Source organism: Homo sapiens, chromosome 7, assembly GCF_000001405.40.
Source record: "Homo sapiens chromosome 7, GRCh38.p14 Primary Assembly".
NCBI lineage: Eukaryota > Metazoa > Chordata > Mammalia > Primates > Hominidae > Homo > Homo sapiens.
In genome coordinates this window covers 5,217,061-5,243,880 of record NC_000007.14, presented here as the reverse complement: position 1 = coordinate 5,243,880, position 26,820 = coordinate 5,217,061, and the positions used below count along the sequence as shown (strand labels likewise).

The 26,820-nt window shown below is 52.0% G+C and overlaps 1 protein-coding gene across 7 annotated transcripts in view, besides 8 other annotated features; it reads right to left on the bottom strand.

Annotated features, from left to right (window-relative positions):
• Window positions 2,806–2,895: an enhancer, noted in NCBI's record as "active region_25575". NCBI's record gives its function as "activates an Ori minimal core promoter by ATAC-STARR-seq in GM12878 lymphoblastoid cells {active_cell/tissue: GM12878}" and the evidence as "EXISTENCE:reporter gene assay evidence [ECO:0000049][PMID:35858748]".
• Window positions 3,369–3,663: an enhancer, noted in NCBI's record as "tiled region #13937; K562 Activating DNase unmatched - State 4:PromP". NCBI's record gives its function as "activates a minimal TATA promoter and a strong SV40 promoter by Sharpr-MPRA in K562 cells {active_cell/tissue: K562}" and the evidence as "EXISTENCE:reporter gene assay evidence [ECO:0000049][PMID:27701403]".
• Window positions 9,149–9,208: a silencer, noted in NCBI's record as "silent region_17911". NCBI's record gives its function as "represses an Ori minimal core promoter by ATAC-STARR-seq in GM12878 lymphoblastoid cells {active_cell/tissue: GM12878}" and the evidence as "EXISTENCE:reporter gene assay evidence [ECO:0000049][PMID:35858748]".
• The window catches only part of WIPI2 (WD repeat domain, phosphoinositide interacting 2), a 43,623-nt gene continuing 26,828 nt past the window's right edge, over window positions 10,026–26,820 (bottom strand). For 3 of the 7 annotated variants that reach the window (NM_001278299.2, NM_015610.4, NM_016003.4), the window contains 8 exons: window positions 26,694–26,791; window positions 25,867–25,959; window positions 21,209–21,279; window positions 17,951–18,058; window positions 16,537–16,701; window positions 15,670–15,777; window positions 14,143–14,273; window positions 10,041–13,046 (listed from right to left, as the gene is read on the bottom strand). In NM_001278299.2, coding sequence (NP_001265228.1) covers window positions 12,934–13,046; window positions 14,143–14,273; window positions 15,670–15,777; window positions 16,537–16,701; window positions 17,951–18,058; window positions 21,209–21,279; window positions 25,867–25,959; window positions 26,694–26,791 — 887 coding nt within the window. In that variant the 3' untranslated portion in view covers window positions 10,041–12,933. Of the gene's footprint in view, window positions 13,047–14,142; window positions 14,274–15,669; window positions 15,778–16,536; window positions 16,702–17,950; window positions 18,059–21,208; window positions 21,280–25,866; window positions 25,960–26,693; window positions 26,792–26,820 lie in introns of all 7 variants that reach the window. The other 4 variants (NM_001033518.2, NM_001033519.2, XM_006715685.2 and 1 more) reach the window with 3 other exon arrangements.
• Window positions 11,775–11,924: an enhancer, noted in NCBI's record as "active region_25574". NCBI's record gives its function as "activates an Ori minimal core promoter by ATAC-STARR-seq in GM12878 lymphoblastoid cells {active_cell/tissue: GM12878}" and the evidence as "EXISTENCE:reporter gene assay evidence [ECO:0000049][PMID:35858748]".
• Window positions 20,329–21,078: an enhancer, noted in NCBI's record as "H3K4me1 hESC enhancer chr7:5262434-5263183 (GRCh37/hg19 assembly coordinates)". NCBI's record gives its function as "activates a minimal SCP1, AML or CMV promoter by ChIP-STARR-seq in primed H9 embryonic stem cells {active_cell/tissue: H9 hESC(primed)}" and the evidence as "EXISTENCE:reporter gene assay evidence [ECO:0000049][PMID:30033119]".
• Window positions 24,381–25,580: an enhancer, noted in NCBI's record as "CDK7 strongly-dependent group 2 enhancer chr7:5257932-5259131 (GRCh37/hg19 assembly coordinates)". NCBI's record gives its function as "activates an origin of replication core promoter dependent on BRD2, BRD4, P300/CBP, MED14 and CDK7 cofactors, with strong dependence on CDK7, by STARR-seq in HCT116 cells {active_cell/tissue: HCT116}" and the evidence as "EXISTENCE:reporter gene assay evidence [ECO:0000049][PMID:35650434]".
• Window positions 24,723–25,432: an enhancer, noted in NCBI's record as "active region_25573". NCBI's record gives its function as "activates an Ori minimal core promoter by ATAC-STARR-seq in GM12878 lymphoblastoid cells {active_cell/tissue: GM12878}" and the evidence as "EXISTENCE:reporter gene assay evidence [ECO:0000049][PMID:35858748]".
• Window positions 25,443–25,522: an enhancer, noted in NCBI's record as "active region_25572". NCBI's record gives its function as "activates an Ori minimal core promoter by ATAC-STARR-seq in GM12878 lymphoblastoid cells {active_cell/tissue: GM12878}" and the evidence as "EXISTENCE:reporter gene assay evidence [ECO:0000049][PMID:35858748]".

Sequence of the window (26,820 nt, the reverse complement as noted above, 5' to 3'; positions counted from 1 at the left end):
TCATCTTTCTAGGAGCCCAGAGGTTCTTCCAGATTTGGGGTGCCTCCTTAAGAGGGACCCCCAGAACACTGACACAGTCTGACCCCTGGAGTCAGGGGGTGGGGACAGGAGCTGATCCCTTGAACTTCCTCAAAAGGAGCAGAAAGCTGAAAATAACCAGAAAAGATGCTCCCCAGAGCCTTAAGCAAAGGAGCTCGTCTGAACAAATTGCGGGTTTTTCTCCTTTGCCGGCAACACGGCAGCCACAGCCCTCAGCCCTGCCTGCGGTGCCCACCTGAAGCAAACAGAGTGACTTTGCCAACCACAGTGACGTTCTGCATTGGTGTAGGTTTCAGGACAGAATGGAGCAGCCTGGGCGCTCCCACGAAGGTCAAGAAGGACATAAATGACAGAGCTGGCCAGCGGCCAGGACGCGGGGCCCATGGTGGGTTCTGGGGCAGTGGCCAGGGACCCTCCTGGGGGCCATTTGTCAGCACCAAGGAGGCTGCAGGGACCTGACTGCGAGTCTGTCAAGAAGAGGGCCGCAGGCAGCCTGGGGCATGGTGCCATGGTCTGGGCTTGGGGGTGGATGGTGGCCAATCCCAGAACGCATCTCTGCATCTCAGAAGGGGCCCAGGGAAGCCAGGGTGGGGTGGCTGAGGGTGGGGAGCTATGCAGATCCTGGCTCTTCAGACAAGGACAGCAGGGGCCTCCCCCGGCCCTGTTCCCTCAGCCTCTGCCAGGAGCAACTGAACCCTGTCCTGCCCTGTGCCACCAGCTGGGATGAGTTACCTTGCCCAGGAGAGTCTTCTATTTGGGGAGGGGTGTTTTGTGAGCAAAGTGCCCTGAAGCCAATGGGTCACTGTGCACACCATGAGGCGTTTCTTTCATTCTAAGGTGTCACTTAGTTACGGATTTCCAGGGGACAGGTGGCCAAATTAATGACCCTGGGCTGTGAAACACTCCAATTTTCTTTCTTTCTTTCTTTCTTTCTTTCTTTCTTTCTTTCTTTCTTTCTTTCTTGCTTGCTTGCTTGCTTGCTTGCTTTCTCTCTTTCTTTCCCTTCCTTCCTTCCTTTCTTTCTTTCTCTCTCTTTCCCTTCCTTCCTTTCTTTCTTTCTCTCTCTCTTTCTTTCCCTTCCTTCCTTTCTTTCTCTCTCTTTCTTTTCCTTCCTTCCTTCCTTCCTTCCTTTCTTTCTCTCTTTCTTTCCCTTCCTTCCTTCTTTCCTTCCTTCCTTTCTTTCATTCTTTCTTTCTTTCTCTCTCTCTTTCTTTTCCTTCCTTCCTTTCTTTCTATCTTTCTCTCTCTCTCTTTCTTTCCCTCCCTCCCTCCCTCCCTCTCTCTCTCTTTCTTTCTTTCTTTCTGACAGAGTCTCACTCTGTTACCCAGGCTGGAGTGTAGGGGTGCGATCTTAACTCGCTGCAATCTCCGCTTCCTGGGTTGAAGCGATTCTCGTGCCTCAGCCTCCTGAGTAGCTGGGAGTACAGGCACGCACCACCAAGCCTGGTTAATTTTTGTATTTTTTAAAGGAGACGGGGCTTTGCCATGTTGGCCAGGCTGGCCTCGAACTCCTGGCCTCGAATGATCCACCTGCCTTGGCCTTCCAAAGTGCTGGGATTACAGGCGTGAGCCACCGTGCCCCGCCCCTAACACTCCAATTTCATAAACACCACCACAGGGAAGGAATGGTCTTAGAATGAGTAGGTGGCTGCGTGTGGTGCCTCATGACTGTATTCCCAGCACTTTGGGAAACTGAGGTAGGAGGACTGCTTGAGCCCAGGAGTTTAAGACCAGCCTGGGCAATGTACCGAGAACCTGCCTCTACAAAAAGGCATAGTAGTGGGCACCAGGAGTCCCAGCTACTTGGGAGACTGAGGTGGGAGGATCACTTGAGCCCAGGAGGTTGAGGCTGCAGTGAGCTGTGATCCCACCACTGCACTCCAGCCTGGGTGACAGAGTGAGACCCGAACTCTAAAAGAAAAAAGAAAGAATGAGGCTGGGTGCAGCGGCTCATGCCTGTAATCCCAGCACTTTGGGAGGCCGAGGCAGGCGGATCACCTAAGGTCAGGAGTTCGAGACCAGCCTGGCCAACATGGCGAAACCTCATCTCTACTAAAAGTACAAAAATTACCCAGGCGTGGTGGCACGTGCCTGTAATCCCAGATACTCGGGAGGCTGAGGCAGGAGAATCGCTTGAACCTGGGAGGCGGAGGTTGCGGTGAGCTGAGATTGTACCACTGCACTCCAGCATGGGTGACAGAGTGAAACTCCATCTCAAAAAAAAAAAAAAAAAAGGAAGGAAGGAGGGAGGGAGGGAAGGAAGGAAGGGAGGGAAAAAAAAGAGAGAAAGGACCATGTATTGCCCAGGCAGAGCCTTATGGTTTACACTCACTGCTCTCGAACCTCACTCCCTGTACCTGCTGTTATCTCCGTGGGATGCAGGGAAGCCAAGGGCCTCTCTAGCACTTTCTCCATCCTGAGGTGCTGGGCAGCTCTCTCCTCAGGCTCTCTCGGGAGCTGTCTGTGCTTGGCCACCCTCCTTCCCCGGGGACATATCAGACTACACAGTGCCTGCTTCAGAGCAGACAGCGTTTGCTGGTGCGGGGTGTGTGTGTGTGTGTGTGTGTGTGTGTGCGCACGTGTCTATGTGTGTGTGTGTTGGGAGAGCCTCTGTCTGAAGGCTGAGGTCAGGAGCTCAGAGTCAAGCCGTCTGGGGGTGATGCTCCGGTCGCCCTCTCTAGATCTGACTGGCTTTTTCTTTTTCTTTCTTTCTTTTTTTTTTGACATGCACTCTCACTCTGTCGCCCAGGCTGGAGTGCAGTGGCGCGATCTCGGCTCACTGCAACGTCCGCCTCCCAGGTTCAAGTTAGTGTTCTGCCTCGGCCTCCTGAGTAGCTGGGATTACAGGCGCCCGCTACCATGCCCAGCTAATTTTTGTATTTTTAGTAGAGACGGGGTTTCACCATGTTGGCCAGGCTGGCCTCAAACTCCTGACCTCAGGTGATCCGCCTGTCTCAGCCTCCCAAAGTGCTGGGATTACAGACGTGAGCCACCTCGCCCGGCCTGACCGGCTTTATCGATTCACCATTTTAAATGGTGATGAATCGGCTCTCCCGCGGGGGAATGGCATGATTAGGAAACAGGTCGTTGAGAGGGGAGGGGTGGCCAATAAGAAGGCAGGCGGCCAGGAGGCCGTGGGGCTACAGACAGGGGAGGGAGCTGCCGCTGGAATGGAGTCCCACTGTGGCAAGGTCACCCTCTCCCCGGAGGGAGAGGCGCCCTCCGAGACCCACATTCATCCACAGGCGGTAACGAGAACAGAGTGAAATTCCCATTGTCGGAGGAAGCCAGGTTTCTCCACGGCCTCTGTTTGCCATTTTTGCATTGGGAGTTCATTCAAACTAGCACATTGGCGAAGCTCCCGGGTGCGACCGCCCAGCCCCCAAGGACACAGTCTGACCAGGGCACCCTCCCCCACAGCTCGCCAACCCACCAGCCCCGCAGATGTCTGCACAGTTGGGAGACTTCCACCACCTAGTGGCCGTGAAGAAAACCATCCACCCTCCTCAGAGCTCGGGGTTGGGAGGAGACTCAGGCGGCTCCTGAGGTCCTGATGGTCTATCCGTCTGTGTCTCGCAGCGTTAGGGTCCAGAGAAACACAGGAAAGGCAGGGCGGGGGCGGGGAGGGGTGCAGGGGAGCTCACCTGGCCCGGCCTGCCTCCCTTGTCTACCCAGCTTGCAGGGCCTCAGCAGCTCCAGGAGTCTGACAACAGCGCTCTGGGGAGGAAAATCTTACCAAGGAAGAGTTTGTAACTGTAGCATGCTTGTAAACTAGAATATTATTATTTTTTTTTTTGGTAGAGGCTGCGGCGGGTCTCAAACTGTTGCCCAGGCTGGTCTCGAACTCCTGGCCTCAAGTGATCTTCCTGTCTCAGCCTCCTGAGTAGCTGGGCATATCAGCCCACCTGGCTAATTTTTTTTTTTTTTTTTTTTTTTTTTTTTGAGCTGGAGTCTCGCTCTGTCGCCCAGGCTGGAGTGCAGTGGCGCGATCTCGGCTCACTGCAAGCTCCGCCTCCCGGGTTCACGCCATTCTCCTGGCTCAGCCTCCCGAGTAGCTGGGACTACAGGCGCCCGCCACCACGCCCGCCTAAGTTTTTGTATTTTTAGTAGAGAGGGGGTTTTACCGTGTTAGCTGGGATGGTCTTGATCTCCTGACCTTGTGATTCTCCTGCCTCGGCCTCCAAAGTGCTGGGATTACAGGCGTGACCCACCATGCCCGGCCACACCTGGCTAATTTTTTAATTTTTCGTAAAGACGGGGGTCTTGCTCTGTTGCCCAGGCTGGTCTTCAACTCCCAGCCTCAAGCAATCCTCTCACCTCGGGCTCTCAAAGTGCTGGGATTACAGGTGTGAGCCACTGTGCCTGGCCCCTAGGATACTATTTTATATTTCTAAAGATATCTGCATTATTTATTTATTTATTTATTTATTTTTGAGACAGAGTCTCACTCTGTCGTCCAGGCTGGAGTGCGGTGGCGCCATCTCGGCTCACTGCAACCTCCGCCTCCCGGGTTCAAGCGATTCTCCTGCCTCGGCCTCCCGAGTTGCTGGGATTACAGGCACGCGCCACCACGCTCAGCCAATTTTTTTATATTTTTAGTAGAGATGGGGTTTCACCACGTTGGCCAGGCTGGTCTCGAACTCCTGACCTTGTGATCTGCCTGCCTCGGCCTACCAAAGTGCTGCGATTCCAGGCGTGAGCCACCGCGCTCAGGCAATTTTTTGTATTTTTAGTAGAGACGGGGTTTCACCATTTTGGCCAGGCTGGTCTCGAACTCCTGACCTCGTGATCCGCCCGCATCAGCCTCCCGAAGTGCTGGGATTCCAGGCGGGACCCTCTGCGCCCACCGGGTGCTTGGCTTTAAAGGTGACTTGTCCTCCCGCCCACGCCATTCCTCAGAGTCACTGCAGGACTGAATGAATGGCGAGGGCAGGCGGGCAGGAGGCTCCAGGACTTCCTTCAGAGCCCGTTTCATTTTACTTAGGGCTTCTGCTAGTTAGTACCCGTGTGCTCTGGGATGCTGGTTTAAGCAGAAAATCCCAGCTGTTATTTCCAAAGCTGGTGGCGGAGTTTAGAAGTTTCTCGACTTAACATGCACCGTGCCTCCTCACACCGAGCGCAGATCCGCGCCCTGCAGACAGAGCTGTGCGCGCCAGGGAGCCAGTTCCCCAACCCTGCCGTTCTGCGGCCCTCGGTGGACTTCGGTCCGAACTCTCCCAGGTCCCCAGGCTCAGGCACAGGCTCAGCACTAAACGCACCAGGGAAGGTCAAGAGGAGGGCGCTGAGGGGACCTCCCCGAGGGAGAGGAAAGGCAGGGAAAAGTCTTCAGATTCCCTTGAGGAAAGGTGCTTCGCCGTCGCAGGGAGCCCAAGCACATTTCTGCGCTGACCCACTAAAAAGTAATGTCGCACAGGAAGAAAAAGCCACTTCTAAAAGCAGCAACAGGGCCGGGCGCAGTGGCTCACGCCCGTAATCTCAACACTTTGGGAGGTCGAGTCGGGTGGATCACCTGAGGTCAGGAGGTTTTTTTGTTTGTTTGTTTGTTTGTTTTTTGTGACAGAGTCTTGCTCTGTCGCCCAGCCTGGAGTGCAGTGGCGTGATCTTGGCTCACTGCAACCTCCGTCTCGCAGGTTCAAGTGATTCTTCTGCCTCAGCCTCCCGAGTAGCTGGGACTACAGGGGCGCACCACCAAGCCAGGCTAATTTTTTTTTCTTTTTTAGTAGAGACGGGGTTTCACCATATTGGCCAGGCTGGTCTCGAACTCCTGACCTCAGGTGATCCGCCCACTTCAGCCTCCCAAAGTGCTGGGATTACAGGCGTGAGCCACCGCGCCCGGCCGAGGCCAGGAGTTTGAGAACAGCCTTGGAAACATGGTGGAACCTCGTCTCTACAGAAACATGCAAAATTATCCAGGCTTGGTGGTGCGCACCTGTAATCCCAGCTACTCCAGAGGCTGAGGCAGGAGAACTGCTTGAACCTGAGAGGTGGAGGTTGCAGTGACCCAAGATCATGTCATTGCACTCCAGCCTGGGCTACAGAGCGAGACTCCCATCTCAAAGAAAAAAAAAATAAAATCAGAAGCAGAAGCTGTAACAGAAACAGAAATCAGCACAGGGAATAGTGGAGTCTTGTGTGTGTCCGAGGGATGACACGATGCTCAGCGTCTGCTCAGACAGACGGTGGCTGTGAGAAGCCCTGATGGGAGAGCTGCCAGCCTGGACAGCCGGCTGTGAAGACTCCACGCCAACCAACGTCCCGCAGGCCGCACGGAGATGGGCAGGACCGAAACACACAAGGCTTGGCCTTTGATGAAAAGGAACTCCCCAAGCCAGAAGGAAGTGTGTGATGAAGCAATTCAGCTCAGAGAAGGATGTGCTTCTAGAAGAATCGCCGCATCAGCACTATGTTTAAACTCACATGCTAATCCAAACATGGACCGGCAAGAACGCAGGCGGAACAGGTCCACCGTGTCCTGGCCCACGCACAAGCGGGCCAGCTGTTCCACCAACGCAATCATTCAGCTGCGGCGACACCCGGAGGGGCTCCCCTGTGTAATGCCCCCCACCCTGGGAGAGCTGGGTTTCTTTTTGTTTTCTTTTTTCTTTTTCTTTTTTTTTTTTTTGAGACGGAGGCTCACTCTGTCGCCAGGCTGGAGTGCAGTGGGCGATCTCGGCTTACTGCAAGCTCCACCTCCCGGGTTCAGGCCATTCTCCTGCCTCAGCCTCCCGAGTAGCTGAAACTACAGGCGCCTGCAACCACGCCCGGCTACTTTTTTGTATTTTTAGTAGAGACGGGGTTTCACCGTGTTAGCCAGGACTATCTCGATCTCCTGACCTCGTGATCCACCCGCCTCGGCCTCCCAAAGTGCTGGGATTACAGGTGTGAGCCACCACGCCTGGCCGAGTTGGGTTTCTTTAAAAGATTTTAGTCAGGCTTCTGGCATTTTGCTATAATATTCTAGGTAGAATTATAGGGCAATTTGGTACAAATTAGATGTTTAAGGCTGGGCTCGGTGGCTCATGCCTGTAATCCCAGTACTTCGGGAGGCCGAGGTGGGTGGATCACGAAGTCAGGAATTCGAGACCAGTCTGACCAACGTGGTGAAACCCCGTCTCTACTAAAAGTACAAAAATTAGCCTTGCGTGGTGGTGGGCACCTGTAATCCCAGCTACTCAGGAGGCTGAGGCAGGAGAATCGCTTGAACTTGGGAGGCAGAGGTTGCAGTGAGCTGAGATCGCACCACTGCACTCCAGCCTGGGTGACAGAGTGAGACTGTCTCAAAAACAAACCAAACAAACAAAAACAAATGAGATGTTCAGCCTGTGAGTAGGCAACAAAAAAATAGAACACAGGTTTTAATTTTAAGAGAGGGGGTCTTGCTATGTGGTCCAGACTGGCCTTGCCTCAAATTGCTGGTCTCAAGCGATCCTCCTGCCTTGGCCTCCCAAGAAGCTGGGATTATAGGTGTGAGCCACCACGTCCAATTCTTTAGCGTGTTATAAAATGCTGATAGCAATGGGCTTTCAGTCAGATTTGGTGGGGGAATGTAATCAGTATGTTCACCTGAAGCTCAGGCAGGCACACACACACACACTCACAGACACACACACACACACACATGCACGCACACTGGCAGCACCAAAAACAGCTTCACCTAAAATGAAGTGTTAAGAGGAATCTATTTACATTATAACTAACTATAGAAAGAAACGATGTAGAGGTGAGGAATCAAGACAGTCTCTTCACATTCTGAACTTTAGAAAGATTTCATTTTTCTTTTTTCTTTTTTTTTTTTTTGAGACAGAGCTGTGCTCTGTCACCCAGGCTGGAGTGCAGTGGCATGATCTCTGTTCACTGCAAACTCTGCCTCCCGGGTTCAAGCGATTCTCCTGCCTCAGCCTCCTGAGTTGCTGGGATTACAGGCACATGCCACCATGCCCATGTATTTTTAGTAGAGACGGGGTTTCACCATGTTGGTCAAGCTGGTCTCAAACGCCTGACCTTGTGATCCACCCGCCTTGGCCTCCCAAAGTGCTGGGATTACAATAGGCATGAGCCACCGCGCCCGGCCTCATTTTTCTAAATTAGAGACTTTCCTAGCTGGTTATTAGGGAAGGGTAAGAACTGGTCACATCTCAAAACCCTGAGATTGGTTTTGTTTTGTTTTTGTGCTTCAGAAAAACCCACAGATTGAAAAGGTATGACATAGGTGAAGGGTTATGACCTGGGTCAGAACTAAAAGATACGTCAGAAAAACCCTATCTGCTTGGCCAATGATTATCATGATATATTTTCAGTAAGAAATAAGTCATAAAAAAGAGAATTCTATGTAAAGCAGGGAGGCGACCCAAACAGAAGTCCCACGGTTTCCCTGCACGTTCTTTTTACATCTCCAACACCACAGAGCTGAAGCCGAACGGTCCCGCCTCTCTCTTAAGTACGCTTGTAAAATAACGCATTTGGATTTCCTGCTTGCTGGCCATGGTGTCACATGTCCGTTTCTTTTTCTTTTTCTTTTTTGAGACAGTCTCACTCTGTTGCCCAGGTGAGAGTGCAGTGGCATGACTCAGCTCACTGCAACCTCCACCTCCCGGTTTCAAGCAACTGTCCTGCCTCAGCCTCCAGAGTAGCTGGGATTACAGGCACCCACCACCACGCCTGGTTACTTTTTGTATTTTTAGTAGAGACAGGTTTTGCCATGTTGGCCAGGCTGGCCTCGAACTCCTGACCTTAGATGATCCGCCCGCTTCTGCCTCCCAAAGGGTTGGGATTACAGGCATGAGCCACCTCATGTACATTTCAAACAAGTGACTCGGTCATTCCCTGCATGCAAAGGTCTGGTCTACAAAGATGTAGGGCAGGGGACACACGAAACAACAAGCCTGGCCCATCCCCACCCTTTGCCAATGTGGTTATGAAAACCACGAGCAGCGGGGCGAGGTGGCTCATGGCTATAATCTCAGCACTTTGGGAGGCCGAGGCGGGTGGATCACTTGAGGTCAGGAGTTCGAGACCAGCCTGGCCAACATGGTGAAACCCGGTCTCTACTAAAAATACAAAAATTAGCCGGACGTGGTGGTGCGTGCCTATAGTCCCAGCTACTTAGGAGGCTGAGGGAGAATTGCTTGAACCCAGGAGGTGCACGTTGCAGTGAGCCGAGATCGTGCCACTGCACTCCAGCCTGGGCGACAGAGCGAGACTCAGTCTCAAAAAAAAAAAACCACAAAAACCCCCAAACAAAAAACTAAACCAAAAAAACCAGACGAGCAACAGGGATGAGCATGTTTTCTGCCACCCCTTGTCCCGTTTCCTTGGCTAAGCTGTGGCCAAAGCACTCCCGGCCTTTTACACATGGAGCCCACTGCTGGTTGTGGAGGTAGGAAGACTCCCTCTCTCCCCTCTCCAAATGAAACCGTGCGTGGGAAGAATCACCCAGTTCTCTCTGTGGCAGGGAACGGCAGCCATGGAGCTCCTGGGTCCCCTGACAGGGGCAGGGCCTGCTGTTCCAGGGCGCCCACCACCTCCCAGACCAGCTCGCACCACCTGCCCGTTAAGCTTGGTGTTGAGAAAAGGCGGGGATGAAAGAGACCCACGTGTAACCTCCATGTGAATTACACTTTTTTTTTTTGAGACAGAGTCTTGCTCTGTCGCCTAGGCTGCAGTGCACTGATGCAATCTTGGCTCCTGGCAACCTCTGCCTCCCAGGTTCAAGCGATTCTCCTGCTTCAGCCTCCCAAGTAGCTGGGATTACAGACGTGCACCATCCCCCGCCCCACCCCCCCAGCTAATTTTTGTATTTTTAGTAGAAATGTCGTTTCACCATGTTGGCCAGGCTGGTCTCGAATTCCTAACCTCAAGTGATCCGCCCACCTTGGCCTCCCAAAGTGCTGGGATTACAGGTGTGAGCCACCGTGCCTAGCCTCTGAATTACACTTCTTACCCGTATTGTCACCTCCCTCCCGCCTGGCTTATTCAAAAACCAGAACTGAATAAAAATCGTGTTTAATTGCAGAAGACACATTTATGTTGTAGCGTTTATTGGGTGCCCACCGCTGGCTGGGCACCGAGCTGGGCGTTTGCAGGACACGCAGTCACACAACACCTCACAACAGCCCTGTGAGGTAGGGATGAGTCCCATGGAACGGTCCAGAAAACGCAGGCTCCCAGGCGCCCTGCCTGCTCCCACAGCTAGGCAGGCGGTACAGCGGGGACTGAAGCAGTTCTTTTTGACTCCAGGTTCCATCCAGCTCTTGGTCCCATTGTTTTAGAGATTACAGAAGGTTTGGTCCCAGAGTCCACTGAGCCCATTCACAACGTTTACAGGTTTTGTTTCCTATCCCCCACGCTCATCGTCCTTTTTGAAGTTTGGAAAAATACAATTTAAAAATGAATATGAGTGTACAGTTTGGAGTTCGGAAAATTAGCACACGTTCTGTTTGGTTCAGGGTCCCTCTCCACCTGGGTCACTGGCGCAGCAGTAAGAGTTCTAACGGGCAACTCAGCGGCCTCCCTCTGTCCCCGTCACTCCTGAGCATGTCTGAGGCCGCCAGTGAGGCTGGGACTCATAGGTTCGAGCAGAGGAAGAGGAGCTGGTGGCAGTGAAATGGGCAACGGGAAAGTGGAGGCGGGTAACCCTCCACAATGGCTGCTCAGCAAACACAGAAATCCTCTTCATTCTTCTCGACCAAGAATCTGCAGTCCTCCTCCCTCCTCTAGGGCGCACAGCTTAGCCCTGACCCAGGCAAGCACAGGGCTTCCCGTGGTCTGCAGGGAACGCACCTAGCCAGCCCTGCCAGGGCCACCCAAGGGGGAGTGTGGGCCGAGGGTCACAGGACGTCCGAGGCCTCCTCTGCAACTGCCTCATCTTACAGTGCGGGAAGCCGAGGCTGAGCGAGGAAGACAATTCCCAGCATCTTCTATACTACCAATCCCAAAGAAAGACAAAAGAGACCTGGCAAAGGAAATTTGAGTCTCCAAATCACCACCACAGGCAGGCACCAGAACAAACGATACTTTAACGCAGAACTGGAAATGCAGCTCACTCTTTGGTGACAGGAAACCCTAGCTCAGGGTTCCGTATCTCTTGTGCACACTTTTTCCCCCCACACTCACTCTTGCCAAAAGTGGCTCCCAGGAGATGGAGTGCACGGTCAGGTTCTAGAGAGAGCCCTCTGGCCTTGCACCACAAGACGCAGGCGTGGGTCAAGGCTGCGTGCTGCCGCGGCCCTTCTCATCCCTGCTCAAGCATAGCCCACTCTGGCCTCGGCGGTCCCCACTGTCTCAGCCTGCGTGACCGGGATCCCATTTCATCAAAGGTCCAGGACAGACAAGCAGGTTTTGAAGGAAAAGTTCAATCAGCCCACTTGCACCTCTGCCTAATGCAGATGTTGTGTGTGCCGCACACCAGCGGCTGGGAGGAAGCCGGTGTAGGTGAGTCGGACTCCAGCGTCCCCTGCATTTAGTTTGCCGTAAAGCCAACCCAGGAACACTGGGGCATTTCACCGCAGCCGCTCAGCTGAGGGGACAACTCCCCTCCAGCTCTTCGCCCAGCGTGACCATGACAACCATCTGGAAACAGGCGTCCCAGCCTTCCTCGGTTCAAAAACCCCAGCCTGCAAAGGCAGGGTAAATAGTTTTTGCCTTTTCCCTTCTATCCGTAACTTCCACCACTCCATAGATTCTAAAACCATCTCTCCTGCCATTAATGCCACTTAAATGCCCTCGACACTTTGGCTGCTGGGTGCCTTGGTTTGGAATGCAGAGTCTGAGGTACTTGAGGTTGTTTTAATTCTGTAAATATGAAAAGGGAAGGGAAGCGAGGCAAATACTGAAGCTTGCAACCACAATCTCTCATCGGTTTGCTGAGGAAATTTTCTAAGATGAAAATAGAAAGGCACATGACGCCCTGTGAAGGACGTGGCCCAGCCGCCTACTCTCTGTTGCTGTCTCCCGCTACGACCTCTCACACAGGTAGGAAGCCCCTGCGGACAGCGGGGCCAGCGAAAGGACAGCTCAGACGGCCACCACACTTGAGTTCTGTGCTTTCCTGGGCATGGGAGGAGCTACAAACTTTACTTAAAAAAAAAAAAAAATCACACAGTTTTTCAACAGGAAGAGTGAAGTAGAAGAACAGATCATTTAATTATACAAACAAAATCGCTTTCCTTTGCTCCAGCGAGTCCAGGCAACCTTTCAAGTTCATTTGCTGCCTGAAAGAAAGGTTTTTAGTATCAGAAAGAACCTCGCTGTCCTCCAATATCCACAGGGAAAACAAGATCAGAAACAAAAGTCCACCATGGAAGAAATCCCAGAGCGATCCAATTTGGAAAGAATTTAATTAACAAAATAAAACGGAGGGAAAATGGTCCAGGTGGGGCCCTAGGGAGATCGGACTTCTGTCCCAGCTGAAGTCTGCCCAGCACACCTGGTGGGCAGCCCCTGGGCCTGTCACTGCAGAACTGGCCTTGACAAGCAGACCCACTGTGCGCGACGCCACGGTTTCCTTACGCACTCGGCATTATGTACAGATATGAAAAAACCCAACGGCAGGTGGCTGGAAAGTGGCTTCTAGCTCCCCTATGCTGGCTTGGCACGTTCATGCATGCAAAGCGAGGAGGTTTTGCGGGCTTCACCAAACAGTTAATTTTGGCAAAAAGAGAAAACAAACAAACAAAAAGCTAAAATTCATAAGCAGGATTTAAAAGCCACTGAAGTGAAAATGATGTATTTCCTCAGCGTTATGGAGTTAGACTACCACTACAATCTTTTTTTTTTTTTAATAAAGTCTCTGCCATCCTCTCCCCCGACTCAGGTCAAAGTTCATAGCAGCAATGCACAAAGTCCTCTGTGAAGCCAGTGTTCTCTGCTCCCCGGGTCAGAGGTCACAGGTCAAGTTCAGTCAGTCCGAAGAATCATGGGCGGGTGCTCGCTGTCCTCATCCAGGCGCAGGGCGCTGGCCTCGTCCTCCAGGCAGGCGCCACCCACAGCACCCAGGTCGTCTGTGTAGGCTGCAAAGAGACGACGAAGTCACCCTTCAAAGGCTGGGGACACACCACAGACCCCATGACACACACTGAGGACTGTGTTTTGGAAACACTGGTGTATATTTATAAACTGAAGCCTGTACTAAGACGTTCTGAATTCTGATTGCTTTCTAATGAACTCTTTGCAGCCTTAGGCAGCTCGAGATGAAGTCATTTGTTCTCTGACATTCATAAATGTCAAAATGATGCCTGCACAGTAAACAGAGGCTCCCTCATGGACGGGCCACAAACTCTCTCAAGCTGGTTAAGAGCTCAAAAATAACACCAGGAAAAAAAATGACACTAGGAGACTCTCAGGGTGGGCTCATGAACTGGAAGTGCCGGTTCACAGATGGGAGTGGCAGCGAGCAGGCACAGCCCTGCGTGGGTGCAAAACCACAGGCTCTCCCACTGGAGTGCGAGTTGGCTTTTTTAAGAAGGTGGCTCACATAGCCAAGGCTGTGGCTGGAGGATCTCATGCATGGGTCTTAGTGCTGCCGCCGGAGGGGAGCCCATTGGCCTCATTCCCCTACAGCTTCTGCACTTCACAGGCCCAGCATGAAGGCAGTACTCGATGCAGATTTGCTGAAGGACGAAAAAGGTGGGAGGGAAAAGACTGAGGCAAAACCCTTGGCAGTACTTTTCAGGGTGGTATCTTGGCTGAGAGGTGGCCAGTCTGGGCCCAAGTCACGTGACCCCAGAGTCACCTGAGCCAGGATGACATTTTCTTTAAAAACGGAGAAAATGAGCCTGGTACGGTGGCTCATGCCTATAATCCCAGCACTGTGGGAGGCTGAGGCGGGAGAATCACTTGAGCCCAGGAGGAGTTTGAGACCACCCTGGGCAACATAGGGAAACCCCATCTCTCCTTTAAAAAAAAAAAAAAAAAAGGAAACGAAACTGAATTCAGCCTTGAGAGAGGCCTTGGGAACACCCATTTACCAACCTCGCTTATGTTCTCAGAACCAGTCCCCATCTTTCCCAGTGAGGAGCTGGTGGGGTGGCTCCGGAGCCAGCAGAAGGCAGTAGCACTCGGGGCTGTGGGGCTAATTACCTTCCAGGTTTGCGTCACGCCCCTTACCAAGTCTCGTTGGGGATGAAGGCACGTAAGTACCTTTTCCTGCAGCTGCGCCGTATGTCTGAGTGACTAAGGGGCAGTCGTGAGAGGCAGAGTCCAAGATCTCATTGGTCGTTTCCAGACTGCCGTCCAGCCTGGAGGGAAGAAAGCGACACAGCTCAGCGTCTCCACACAGGGCAGCCCTGCGGGCAGTACACACTGGCTGCCCTGCGGCAACAGAGCCAGCACACCACTCACCACACAGGACGCCAGGCATTCATCACGCCGTGGCAACTTTAATCTCGTCTATCTGCACACGTTTTTACATGAAGAGTTTTACATGGAAAGTCTAAAGAGGGAGTTATACCTAACAAGACAATATTTCACTTTTACAATGGAAGAACTAACTAATAACGAGGATTCACTATTTACAAAAAAAGTCAGGCTAGCCCGGGTGCAGTGGCTCACGCCTGTAATCCCAGCACTTTGGGAGGCTGAGGCGGGCGGATCACGAGGTCAGGAGACGGAGACCATCCTGGCTAACACAGTGAAACCCCGTCTCTACTAAAAATACAAAAAATTAGCAGGGCATGGTGGCATGCACCTGTCATCCCAGCTACTCGGGAGGCTGAGGCAGGAGAATCGCTTGAACCTGGGAGGCGGAGATTGCAGTGAGCCGAGATCGCGCCACTGTACTCCAGCCTGGGTGACAGAGTGAGACTCCATTTCACACACACACACAAAAAGCTAGGTGCAGCGGCTCACTCCTGTTACCCCAACACTTGGGGAGGCCAAGGCAGGAGGCTCACTTGAGCCTAGGAGTTCCAGACCAGCCTGGACAACCTAGCAAGACCCTGCACAAGAAAGTAATTAGCTGGATGTGCTGTGTGCCTGTAGTCCCAGCTACTAGGGAGGCTGAGGTGGAAGGATCCCTTGAACCTGGGAGGTCAAGGCTGCAGTGAGCTGTGACTGCACCACTGCTCTCCAGCCTGGGCGAGGGTGAGACCCTATCTCTAAAATAAAAAATTATATGTTGTTAGAACTTTTTGATCATTAAAAAACATGTAAGACAGAATGAAAATGCATTACTTCCCAATGAACAAATGTTAACTCCCTGTTTTCCAAGAACAAACCTGTACCTCACAGTGAGACAAGAGGCTCTCAGCCACGTGCACTGAATTGTGGAGGCCACCACGCTGCGCCCTTCCTTTCCAAATGCGAAACTCCACCCTGGGGAGGAAGGCCTGGCCTCCCAGCACCTCTCCCCCACCTAAGAACAAATGCGGCTCCCGCCACCCCTGCGTCGCCTCTGTGCCCAGTCCCTGAGGGAGCCCTGACGCCACCAGCCGCAGCCCGGGGCTCCCTGTCTTGCGGCGGCATTGATTTCACCTGGGAAAGCGAAGCTCCCGACCTGCGCGGCATGGGCCGCTGTGCTGGAATCTGCCCCTCTATGTCACTGGTTTGCAAGGAAATAAACAAACGTTCGCCAGGTGCCCCGAAAGCCCCCCGCCAGCACGGAGCAGCTCCGTGAAGCGGCCGGAGCAGACTCACCGGTGCTGCTTCATCAGGGCACACTCGCCGCCCTCCTGGGGGTCCAGGTTGTACATGTACAGGTACCCGTCGGCGGCACCCACCAACAACCGCGGGATCTTCTGAATTCTAGGGAGAATAAAGAGCAGCCAAATTCTAGACAACTGTCACAGAAACGGTCTTACTACATGGCGGCCTCACTTTTGGCAGGCGAGGAAAGAGACCCCAGCAAGATGAGCACAAGGGCAGCTGCAGGTGTCTGGCGCCCCACTGACCTCGGCTCACACGGCCAAGGCTGCACTCGTGTGCTGAGCCCTGAAGCCCACGGGAGACGAGAGCGGGATGAAACCAGTTTTGTGGCTTCTGGGATTATTATAGGTAGTCATCGTCAGAGAAGTTTTCCAGGATGCTAGTCAGATAACAAAACTGGAAAATGATGTTTAAAGACGCACGGAAGCCCAAAGCCCTGCCATCACTGGGTGTAATGACAATCTTTCCCGCACGCAGCACAGAACCTCCACAGGCCCTGTGTGTGTTCTGAGGCCAGACCCTGGAGCCGGACGGATGCCTGAGACTCGGCAAGTGCGGTTTCTGTGGCCCCAAAGGGTTAACTACGGCACACTCACGAGGTTTGACTTAACGTCTTTCATTAATACCGCAGACTATCCACAAAAACAGAACGGGAGCCCGTCTGGAAATGGACCCCCGCACAGAGCGGCAAGCCTAGTGCCTGCCAGGGGACCTCCCATCCCCGACAACTCTCGATGGAGTGTCGGCTCTAAGAAGCTGCTCCTGTTCAGAAGCACGGAAGGGGCCACAAGCCGCCAGGACTGGGCCCCTCGGCCTGAGGCACACGGGGTGGGGGACGGAGGCGCCGGCTCTACTCACGTGGCTAGCGAGCAGATGTTTTTGTGGCCGCAGAATGGCAGGCGGACCGTGGCGAAGGCTCTGCCCTGGTTGAACATTTCTGTCACTTGGGAAGGCAGGTAGCTGGTGGAGGCCATGAGCACTTTCCCGAAGTACCCGGTCCAGGTGGTGGGCTCCTCTGGGGGTCTGGAAGGAAAGGCCACCAGACACATGAAGCTGCACCCTCCCTGGGGGGACGGCCACCCCCTACTCACACAGACGCACAGCTCTGGAGCCGACAGCAAAAGTCTCCATTCTTCACAGGAAAATTAAACAGGGTTGGTTATAAGCAGACACTCAGGGCCCCAGGGGCATCACGGAGCTTCCTCTGGGAGGTGTCGGGGGAGGGGTGCTCAGGCTTCAGGGAGGAGCTACAGCCTTTGGCCACGGACAAGACGTGGCAGCTGACCACACATCCCCTTTGCAAGGGTGTGAGGACGTCTAGGGCCTAACTGATGACCCCTGCTAGGTCTCTGTAATAGAAGTCTCCAAAAACCTTGAGTATAGACCCCAAAATGTTATTTTCCCGTATCCTGTTTGTGTTGCTATTCATCTTTTTTGGGGGGGAGGGCGGGGCATGCTCCATTTGTCTTTTTAAAAATTGTGATGAAATATACCCAACAAAATTTATTATTTTTGACCACCTAAAGTATGTTATTGTTAACGCTGGTCTGAGTGGGATGTTCTTTTTAAAATTTTTAAAGACAGGCTGGGCGCGGTGGCTCACCGGCAGATCACTTGAGCCCAGGAATTCCAGACCAGCCTGGGCAACACAGCGAAATTCTGTCTCTACAAAATTTTAAAAATTAGCCAGGCATGGTGCACGCCTATAGTCCCAGGTACTCAGGAGGCTGAGGCAGGAGGATCGCTTGAGCCCAGCAGCTAGAGGCTACAATAAGTAATGACTGTACCACTGCACTGCAGCCTGGGCAACAGAGTAAGCCCCTCTTAAAAGATAAGACCCCCCTCATGCTACACATTCATTGCGATAATAAATTCTTGTGGAAGCCGTCCATGTCTCTGCTTACCCGTGGGAAGGTAAGAGACGAGCCATTCACCCTAGTGGGCTGTCTGATCACAAACGCTTTTGTCGTGAGGGGAACCTGAGGAGAGGCCATCTTCACTGACAAAAGGATGTCCACCTGGGCCCTCCATGCCCTACGCGAGGGCTCTGTCTACCCTGCGTGCTGCCTGTGGGAGAAGCTCATCTGCTGGGGCCCATCCTCCTCACTGCCGAGCCTGGATGCGGAGGTGCTCGCTCCATGGCCAGCTCCGGGGTCTTCACTGGCTAACGATGTCAGAGGGTGGGCGGGTCCGTGCTTACCTCTCATCCCGGCAGCAAGTGGGGACAAAGGGTTTTGCATCATTTTTAAAGAAACGTATATTTGCAACTCACTTTTCTTTCACAGTCTCGAGTTTGAAGATGTGCACGGTCTCAGTGTTGCTGGAGGCGGAGAGGAACATGCCGTCCATGCTGAAGGCCAGGGAGCAGATGCTCACGCACCTGGGGAGACGCACAGGTTGGGGCGGGCCACCGGAGCCAGCAGCTGCCCCAGGGGTTCAACTCAAGTGGCGGAGAAGAGTTCCTGTCACGGGCACACTTGGGCCTGCTGGTAAGTTTTATTCCCCTCTAGCCACCTTCTCAAACATTTTCCTTGAGAGAGGAAAATGTTCAAAAGGAAATACTAAGAACAATTCGTTAACACAGCTGCAAGCTTCCACATGACAAAAGGAGTAGGATTTCACTAAACCACTTTTAGCTGAAGTAGGATGGATTTATAGTCCTAAGGTGAGTAAAAGAAAACTCAGTAATTTAAGTTACAGCCATTCTTTCCACACCAGAGGGTAAATCGGCAACCTCAGTAAAGTTTAAGAACAGAGCAAAGGGCCGGGCACGGTGGCTCAAGCTTGTAATCCCAGCACTTTGGGAGGCCAAGGTGGGCGGATCATGAGGTCAAGATATCGAGACCATCCTGGCCAACATGGTGAAACCCCCCGTCTCTACTAAAATTACAAAAATTAGCTGGGCGTGGTGGCGGGTGCCTGTAGTCCCAGCTACTCGGGAGGCTGAGGCAGGAGAATTGCTTGAACCTGGGAGGCAGAGGTTGCAGTGAGCTGAGATCGCACCACTGCACTCCAGCCTGGGCGACAGAGTGAGACTCTGTCTCAATTATTTAAAAAAAAAAAAAGACAGAGCAAAACTTTCAACAGGGAAAGTGGCTCCAGTGTGTCTTAAAAATCAATCGGCATCCCAAAGCCACTAAATTCATGTGAATTTCTTCATAACCCTAGAAATACAAGATACTTTTAGCCCTGTCCGTAATAGCAAGGGGTTTTCCTGGAGTCAGTGTTGACCATGTGTATGAATTAGGAATGTTCTCGCCTTAATGCAGCATCCAGCGATGGGGGTGGGGTCAGGGAGGTGCAAACGAAACCGCCTTTGCAAAATTATGACTGAGACGGTGAACGAGATCTAGCTTTGCTGACTCCATCTTGCTTGTCATCTCCAAGCCGTCCTTGTTCCTCCCCGGGCATAGGCTGAATTAACTTTGGGAGAAAGTTTGCTTATGGTATTTTGCAGACCCTGCACTTGATGGATCCGGCGGCCCCACACAGATCAATGAACTGGCTCATCTGATCTTGTGGCCCCCAGCCAGGAACTCACTGAGTGCAAGAAGACAGCTCCGACTCCCTAACATTTCATCTCTGACCAGTCAGCCCTCCTGGCTCACTGGCTTCTCCCCACCCAAGTTATCCTTAAAAACTCTGCTCCCTGAATGCTCAGACAGACTGATTTGAGTAGTAGTAAAACTCCAGCCTCCCGCATGGCCAGCTCTGCATGAATTACTTTCTCTACTGCAATTCCCATCTTGATGAATCGGCTCTGCCTAGGCAGCGGGCAAGGTGAACCCCTTGGGCGGTCACCCAAATATTCCATTTGCCACAGGCAAAGGAATGTGAGAAAAATACGTGGAAGGCACTAGAGACGCATGGAGAAAGGGATTTAACCCAAGGATCAAAAAAAGGCCTCCTCGAGGGCGACACTCGACTTGGACTCCCAGGGTTACAGAAGCCGGCCAGGCCACCAGATCTGCCAGCTCACGCAAGACCCTGGTGGATAAAAGAGATCGGCTCTTCTGAGGATCTGAAAGTGCGGTACTGCTGGAGCCAGGACAGGGACAGTGAAACAGAATCAGGCTGGGCGGAAGGGCTGGTGCCGGGAGGCCTGCTGAACCAAGGCAGGGGCCTGGGGCTAATCCTGCAGGACAGAGGTGTGGTGGGAGATGTCAGGTGGGGTGTGATTGGATTATATTTACATTTTTCAAACAGCCTGGGTGAGAGTCTGAAGAACGGCCTGACAGGAATCCAGGGCAACAGCAGAAACCAGGCAAAGCCTGGATCAGGTGGCGTGGCGGGAGAGGCACAGGGCGGGCCCACAGGTGGGAGCTCCCTGGAGGCACCATTCAGGCGGAAGGATGCAGGGCCGAGTCCCTCTGGCTTGGGTGCCAGGGTGCTGGCGGGGGTGGCAAGTGGCGCTATTTACCAAGATGGGGAGTGTGAGGGACGAGGGGCCAGGGGCAAACTGGCCTGGTGGCTTGAGGTGCCCAGTGCCCAGCAGGCAGGAGGAATACGGGCACCTCAAGAAGGAAGCCAGGCTACACGTCCAGCCCCGGGATCAGCACACACACAGGCCACGGGGGTGAGGAAGGGGGTTGGGTGAAGAGCGGCTCCAGGGCAGAAACAGGCACAGGAGGGGAACTGGGCAGAAGCAGCAACACAGGAAAACTCCAGAAAGATGTGGTGTAAGGAAGAAGACCAAGGGACACGAGGAGGCAGGAGCTGGAGGAGCGGTGACGTTTGGGGATACTGAGGTGCACCTGCTGCACCTGTGGGGATCCCATGAGGAAAGGGGACCAGATGGCGGGAGAGTCCCCGAAAGACAGCCCCTCCTCTTTCAACAGCCACCTTCAGGGAGGGAGGTACTGATCCGAGACGTGGAGCCACAGACCTGAGGTGGGGTCCCGCCGACCACGGCCATGCGACTGAAAGTGCTCCCTAGGGCTCCAATCTGAGGCACGGGCTCCAGAGCCCGAGGCCTCCCCCGCTCTACTGTCCGACGAGGGAGGGACAGTCCTGCCTCCAAAGCAGGCGCCACAGGAGGCATGTAAGCACCGATGAGGGAAGCTTTGCAGCCTGGAGGGAGGAAGACAAGAGAACTCCAGGCTGCGGCTTCTGGGTTAAAAGAAGGGGCCAATGCCATTTGCTGAGGGTGGAGGCGGAGCTGGAGAGCTGGAACAGGTTCTCAGAGCGTGGCCTTTAAAGGGGAGGGTGTGCTACCCATGACGTCGCCGCCCCGTCCCTTACAGCAGGCTGGGAGCTGCCGGGCACTGGAGGGCCCACCTGGTTGCGTGAGCTCTTCACAACTCTCACGCTAGCTGGTGGGATCGCAAACAAAAACCCAATTTGCTTTTCTGAAAGTGCTCTTCAATTCCCATGACAAGACCGACGCCCAGATCTTACCCGGTGACCCAGCCGGGCTAGAAATGCTCGTGTGGAATTCTCCTGGGGGTTCTACTTGTTTGTTCATAGATAACATAAAACTGAAATCCAAATACAACCTCCAGAATCCATTCTGGACATTCACGTACTTTACCTCTTTACTCCTCTCCGAAACTCAAAGAGTTTTTGTCCTTCTGGAATGGAAAATACCCTAATCACGGTCCCCTGTGGAAGGAAAAGAGAAAAGAAGAATTTGAGCTGAGTTAAAACAGGAATTTCCCATCTTTCACAGCAGACTGCAAATGCGCCACACGGCTATCTCCAGGACAGCTCTGCCCTGGGCCACCAAGGAGTCTGGGGTCCCCCAGGGCCCCCCTTGAACATCATCTCCACACTTTTTGCCACGAGCATAGAAAAACACTCCCCTGTTCTATTGTTGACTTAATGTTCAATCTTCTCTTTAAACCTATTTTAAATGACTACTTACTCTCAACACTAACAGTCTTCAGGGCAAAAGTGGCATATCATTCTATTGTTCTGAGTCATCTGAAGTTTAAACTATTAAAAATAAAAGCCTGGGCCGGGCGTGGTGGCTCACGCCTGTAATCCCAGAACTTTGGGAGGCCGAGGCGGGCAGATCATCAGAGGTCAGGAGTTTGAGACCAGCCTGACCAACATGGAGAAACTGTGTCTCTACTAAAAATACAAAATTAGCTGGGTGTGGTGGCGCATGCCTGTAATCCCAACTACTCGGGAGGCTGAGGCAGAAGAATCGCTTGAACCCAGGAGGTGGAGGTTGCAGTGAGCCGAGACTGCACCACTGCACTCCAGCTCTGGAGCAAGACTCCATCTCGGGGGGGGAAAAAAAAAAAAAATAAAAGCCTGGATTTGTGTGTGGTACACGGGCAAGACCTTGTGGTCTGACGAGGCTTCGGACCCCACCAAGGTCTTTCCTGCCACTTTAAATTCAGTTACGGATCCAGAGAGCCGATTAGCTGGAAATCTCAACTACCTTATAAGGAGTCAATCCCAACTCACCAAATGGTAAGATGCACATGAAGAAAATCTTACTAAGACAAAGAACTAGGAATACAAGGGAGCTCGGCATGTGCCTGCTTTAATGGGAAGTGTCTTGAAGATGCCAACTTCCCCCAAGTTAATATCAGATCTGTGGATGATGAGACAGACATGAACATCTGGGGGAATAAACAGAGAAGCGCCAAGAAAATAACGAGCAGGACTTTGAATGCTTTAATATTAAAAGAATACTATCAAGTGATATAACGGTATTAAATTAGCACAAAAAGAAATAGACTGATGGAAAGAAAGGCCTTAAAATGGGTAGCATTCCAAATTTGCAGGGCAGGAAGAATTATTCAACATTCACCCTCCTACTATACAAATTTTAGGAGGTTCAAACTGTTAAATATAAAAACTGTTAAGAATATCTAGGCTGATGGAAGGTCAAGGTGGGCAGATCTCCTGAGGTGAGGAGTTCGAGACCACCCTGGGCAACATGGTGAAACCCCCATCTCTACTAAAATACAAAAGAATTAGCTGGGTGTGGGCCAGGTGCGGTGACTCACGCCTGTAATCCCAAGCTTTGGGAGCCCGAGGTGAGTGGTCACCTGAGGTGAGGAGTTCCAGACCAGCCTGGCCAACATGGTGAAACCCCGTCTCTACTAAAAATACAAAATTAGCTGGGCATGGTGGCGCATGCCTGTAATCCCAGCTACTCAGGAGGCTGAGGCAGGAGAATCGCTTGAACCCAGGAGGCGGAGGTTGCAGTGAGCCGAGATCATACCACTGCACTTGAGCCTGGGTGACACAGCAAGACTCCGTCTCAAAAAAAAAAAAAAAAAAAAATTAGGTGGGTGTGGTGGCACGCACCTGTAGTCCCAGCTAGTTGGGAGGCTGAGGCACGAGAATCGCTTGAGCCCCAGAGGTGGAGGCTGCAGTGAGCTGAGATCGCGCCATTGCACTCCAGCTTGGGCTACAGAGAGACTCTGTCTCAAAAAAAAGAAAGAAAGAAAGAAAGAAAAGACTATCTAAGCTGAATGCAGTAACTCATGCCTGTAATCCCAGCACTTGGGGAGGCCAAGACAGGAGAAACACTAGAGTCCAGGAGTTCAAGACCAGCCTGGGCAACATAACAAGACCCCACCTCTACAAAAAACAAAAAAATCAGCTAAGCCTGATGATTCGTTCCTGTTGTCCCAGGAGTGGAAGCTGCAGTGAGCCATGATCATGCCACTGCACTATCTCTGTGTTTGTAAATAGTAAAAAGTGGCTGGGCGTGGTGGCTCACTCCTGTAATCCCAGCACTTTGGGAGGCCAAGGCGGGTGGATCACGAGGTCAGGAGTTCACGACCAGCCTGGCCAACGTGGTTAAACCCCATCTACTCAAAATACAAAAATTAGCTGGGTGTGGTGGCGCGCGCTTGTAATCTCAGCTACTCAGGAGGCTGCGGCAGGAGAACTGCTTGAACCTGGGAGGCAGAGGTTGTGGTGAGCTGAGATCATACCACACTGCACTCCAGCCTGGGGGACAGAACAAGACTCCGTTTCAAAAAAAAAAAAAAAGCAAAAAGCAGCAGATGACCTAAGTGTAGAACACCAAGGAACTGTTTACATAAATTATGGTAAACTCATACAATGGGATAGTATACAGCTATTAGAAATCAGAATATAGGCCAGGCACAGTGGCTCACTCCTGTAATTCTAGCACTTTGGGAGGCTGAGGTTTGTAGATCGCTTGAGCTCAGGAGTTTGAAACCAGCCTGGCCAACAGGGTGAAACCCCATCTCTACAAAAAGTACAACAATTAGCCGGGCGTGGTGGCAGGTGCCTGTAGTCCCAGCTACTTGGGAGGCTGAAGTAGGAAGATCACTTAAGCCTGGGAGATGGAGGTTGCATAGAGCAGAGATTGTGCCACTGCACTCCAGCCTGGGTGACAGAGCAAGCATGACCCTGTCTCAAAAAAAAAAAAAACTGGTACTTGAGAACACTTGGTTCTCTCTGGATGGAGGGACACAAACTGAGCTTGTAACATTGAGAATTAGAGAATGAACTATTTTCTGCATCCATATACAAAAATAACCACGGCAAAGGTTTTGTCCTCTGCAGCCTAAACTTTCAGATGAGACATAATTTTGTGGCGCACGTCTACCGTGCAATACTAATTAATTAAGAGTTGTTTTGTTGCCACATGACCGCAAGATTCTTGAAAGCAGGATTAAGTCACAGGCCTCAGGGGGCCTCAGCACCTGGGACAGAGCGGGGCTGGGAAGGCCTTGCTGCTCTCACTCCACAGATGAGAGCATTCCATGTACAAGCAATCAAGGTTCCTCTTTATAGTCCAGAAAAAAAAAAATCTATTTTTATGGGCCTTAAAATTCCATCAAGTACTTTTGGGCCTTTATAAGAGCTACTAAAGAAACATTAACAGTGAGACTTTGATTAGTCAAAGGGTAACAGAATTTCAGGGCCATTTCAAAGGGAAAAGAAAAGGACAAGGTGCTATTGGGATAGTCTAGCATAATTAGAATCAAAGTCAGACTTGGAGTCTGACCCCTCTGTTGCTGCCCAGTTGGGCGGCCCCGGGCACACCGCTTAACCTTTCTGAGCCCTTGCTATGAAACAGAGAACTGTTTACCTTGCTGAGGGGAAACAAATGAGGTAATGAAGATAAAAGATCCAGGATAATTCACGACCCAGAAGTGACCCATAAGCGGTGACATCATTATTACAGAACTCGGGTGTGAGACTGAAGAACAAAGGCCCAGGCAGGAAAGCTAAGGAAGTGAGCCGACGTTTTATTGTATCTTCTCTGGTCAATAGTTTGAGGGGAGAGATGGCTTGAAAGGGGAGGCTATTTTAGGATTTCAATGAGAAGCAAAATCATATCCAAATCAAAGTAAAGGTCATCGGTGGCCAATGAAGAGCGGAGAAAACGGAGGCGGGAGAACAGACGCGACCTCAAGACAGAAGAATGGAAGACGCAACTTTCAAGAAAAGAGGAACTGAAACGAAAAGAGAGGCACAGTCCAAATGAGGAAGAGAACAAGGAGCCTTCAGTCTCCTGGGGGCCAGGGAGCCTCGCCACGCGGTCACAGGTACACGGGGACATTTAGAGGCCATCTCCTTTAAAGCCAGACATTCTTCTTACTGGAATCTCTTGAATTCATAGTTAGAAATACATATAAAACATTGATACATGACTTAAATACACTACTACCTACGGCAGCAACATATTAGAAACAAAGTCCCAAAAGGGTGATGTTGACATGAATCACAACTAAATACTGCGCGGCCATTACAAGTGTTTTTGAACTTAGACAAATGTCATGCAGAGTGAAAAAGGATAAATTATACCCATAGTAGGATCCCAATTTTGTTGACTAAAGAGAAAATGAAATACACTGAAATGTGTTCAGACTGGCTGGATAGAATTCTGTCTTTGCTTTTTCACATTTCATCACTGTCTGGGTTCTTTACTGTTATGTGGTAGTTTCATCATTTAGAAACACACTGGGTGAGCGGTGTGGTTACACACGGCACTTCTGTCTCCTCTGGACATTTCTGTATTTTCTACTACAAATGTGGACCAGCTCTCCCGTCCCAGTGGCACACTGCAAGCTCCGCTCACTCTCGGGCAGTACACGCCTGTGGCCTGACAAGTGGGTGGCTGTCTTTGCTTCTCCCGGAGCTGGTAAGTATAGGACCTTGCCTCTAAGGTGGCTGTGTGAACAGAACTGAAAAAGTCTGTGGACGCCTTGGCACCAGTGCTCCCCCGGGGAAAAGCAGACTCACCTTCTCCGAAGCCGTGGCAAGTTTAGTTCCACTTGCGTCAAAGGCCAGTGCCGCTAAAGGACTGTCGTGAGCCGGAATCATGTTTGCAGCTCTCTGAAAAAGGGACACCAATAAAGAGTGGCCACCGCACAGTGACCGCCCACGCCCCAGGGCTGACACTTGGTCCGCAAGTGCCAATTAGCTGTTCCTAAAACACCATTACGGTCCAAACAAATGCCAAACCCACTTGATTTACTGGGGCTGGGCATCCAAGGAAATGCTGCTCCAACTTTAGAAAAAGCAAAGCAATTTATCCCTAAGGTTTTCTATGTTCCTTCAAACATTCCCGTGGCGAGGAGCTCAGCACTGCTCTGAACGCCGCAGCAGATCCAGAAGCAGAATGAGCCAGACCTACTCTGCTACTGAGAAGAGAGCAGTGGGGCTGGGCGCGGGGCACCCGCCTGTAGTCCCAGCACTTTAGGGGGCCGAGGCGGGAGGATGGCTTAAGGCCAGGAGTTTGAGGCCAGCCTGGGCAACCCAGCAAGACTCCATCTCTACAAAAATAAAAAATTAGCTGGGTGTGGTGTTGCATGACTGTAACTCCTCGGGAGGCTGAGGCAGGAGGATCAATTGAGCCCAGGAGGTTGAGGCTGCAGTGAGCTAGGACTGCACCACTGCACTCCAGCATGGGCGACAGAGCCAGACCCTGTCTCAAAAACAAACAAACAAACAAAAAAGTGCAGCGGTTGTATTGCTGAGCCAAGTCAGGATGCCAGGGACACCACAGTGCTCCTCTTCAGGAAAAAGCCACACTTTAGAGAGCTATTCGAGCAGGAAAGGCATCTCACCAAATTAATGGTATCGAAGACCTGCACCTCTCCGATGGTCGCGCTCCCTGGGTACGCCAAGTAGCAGTTGTCGTTGTTGATTGACAGCGCACACAGGCCTGCAAATGACACACGGAGGACGAGATGC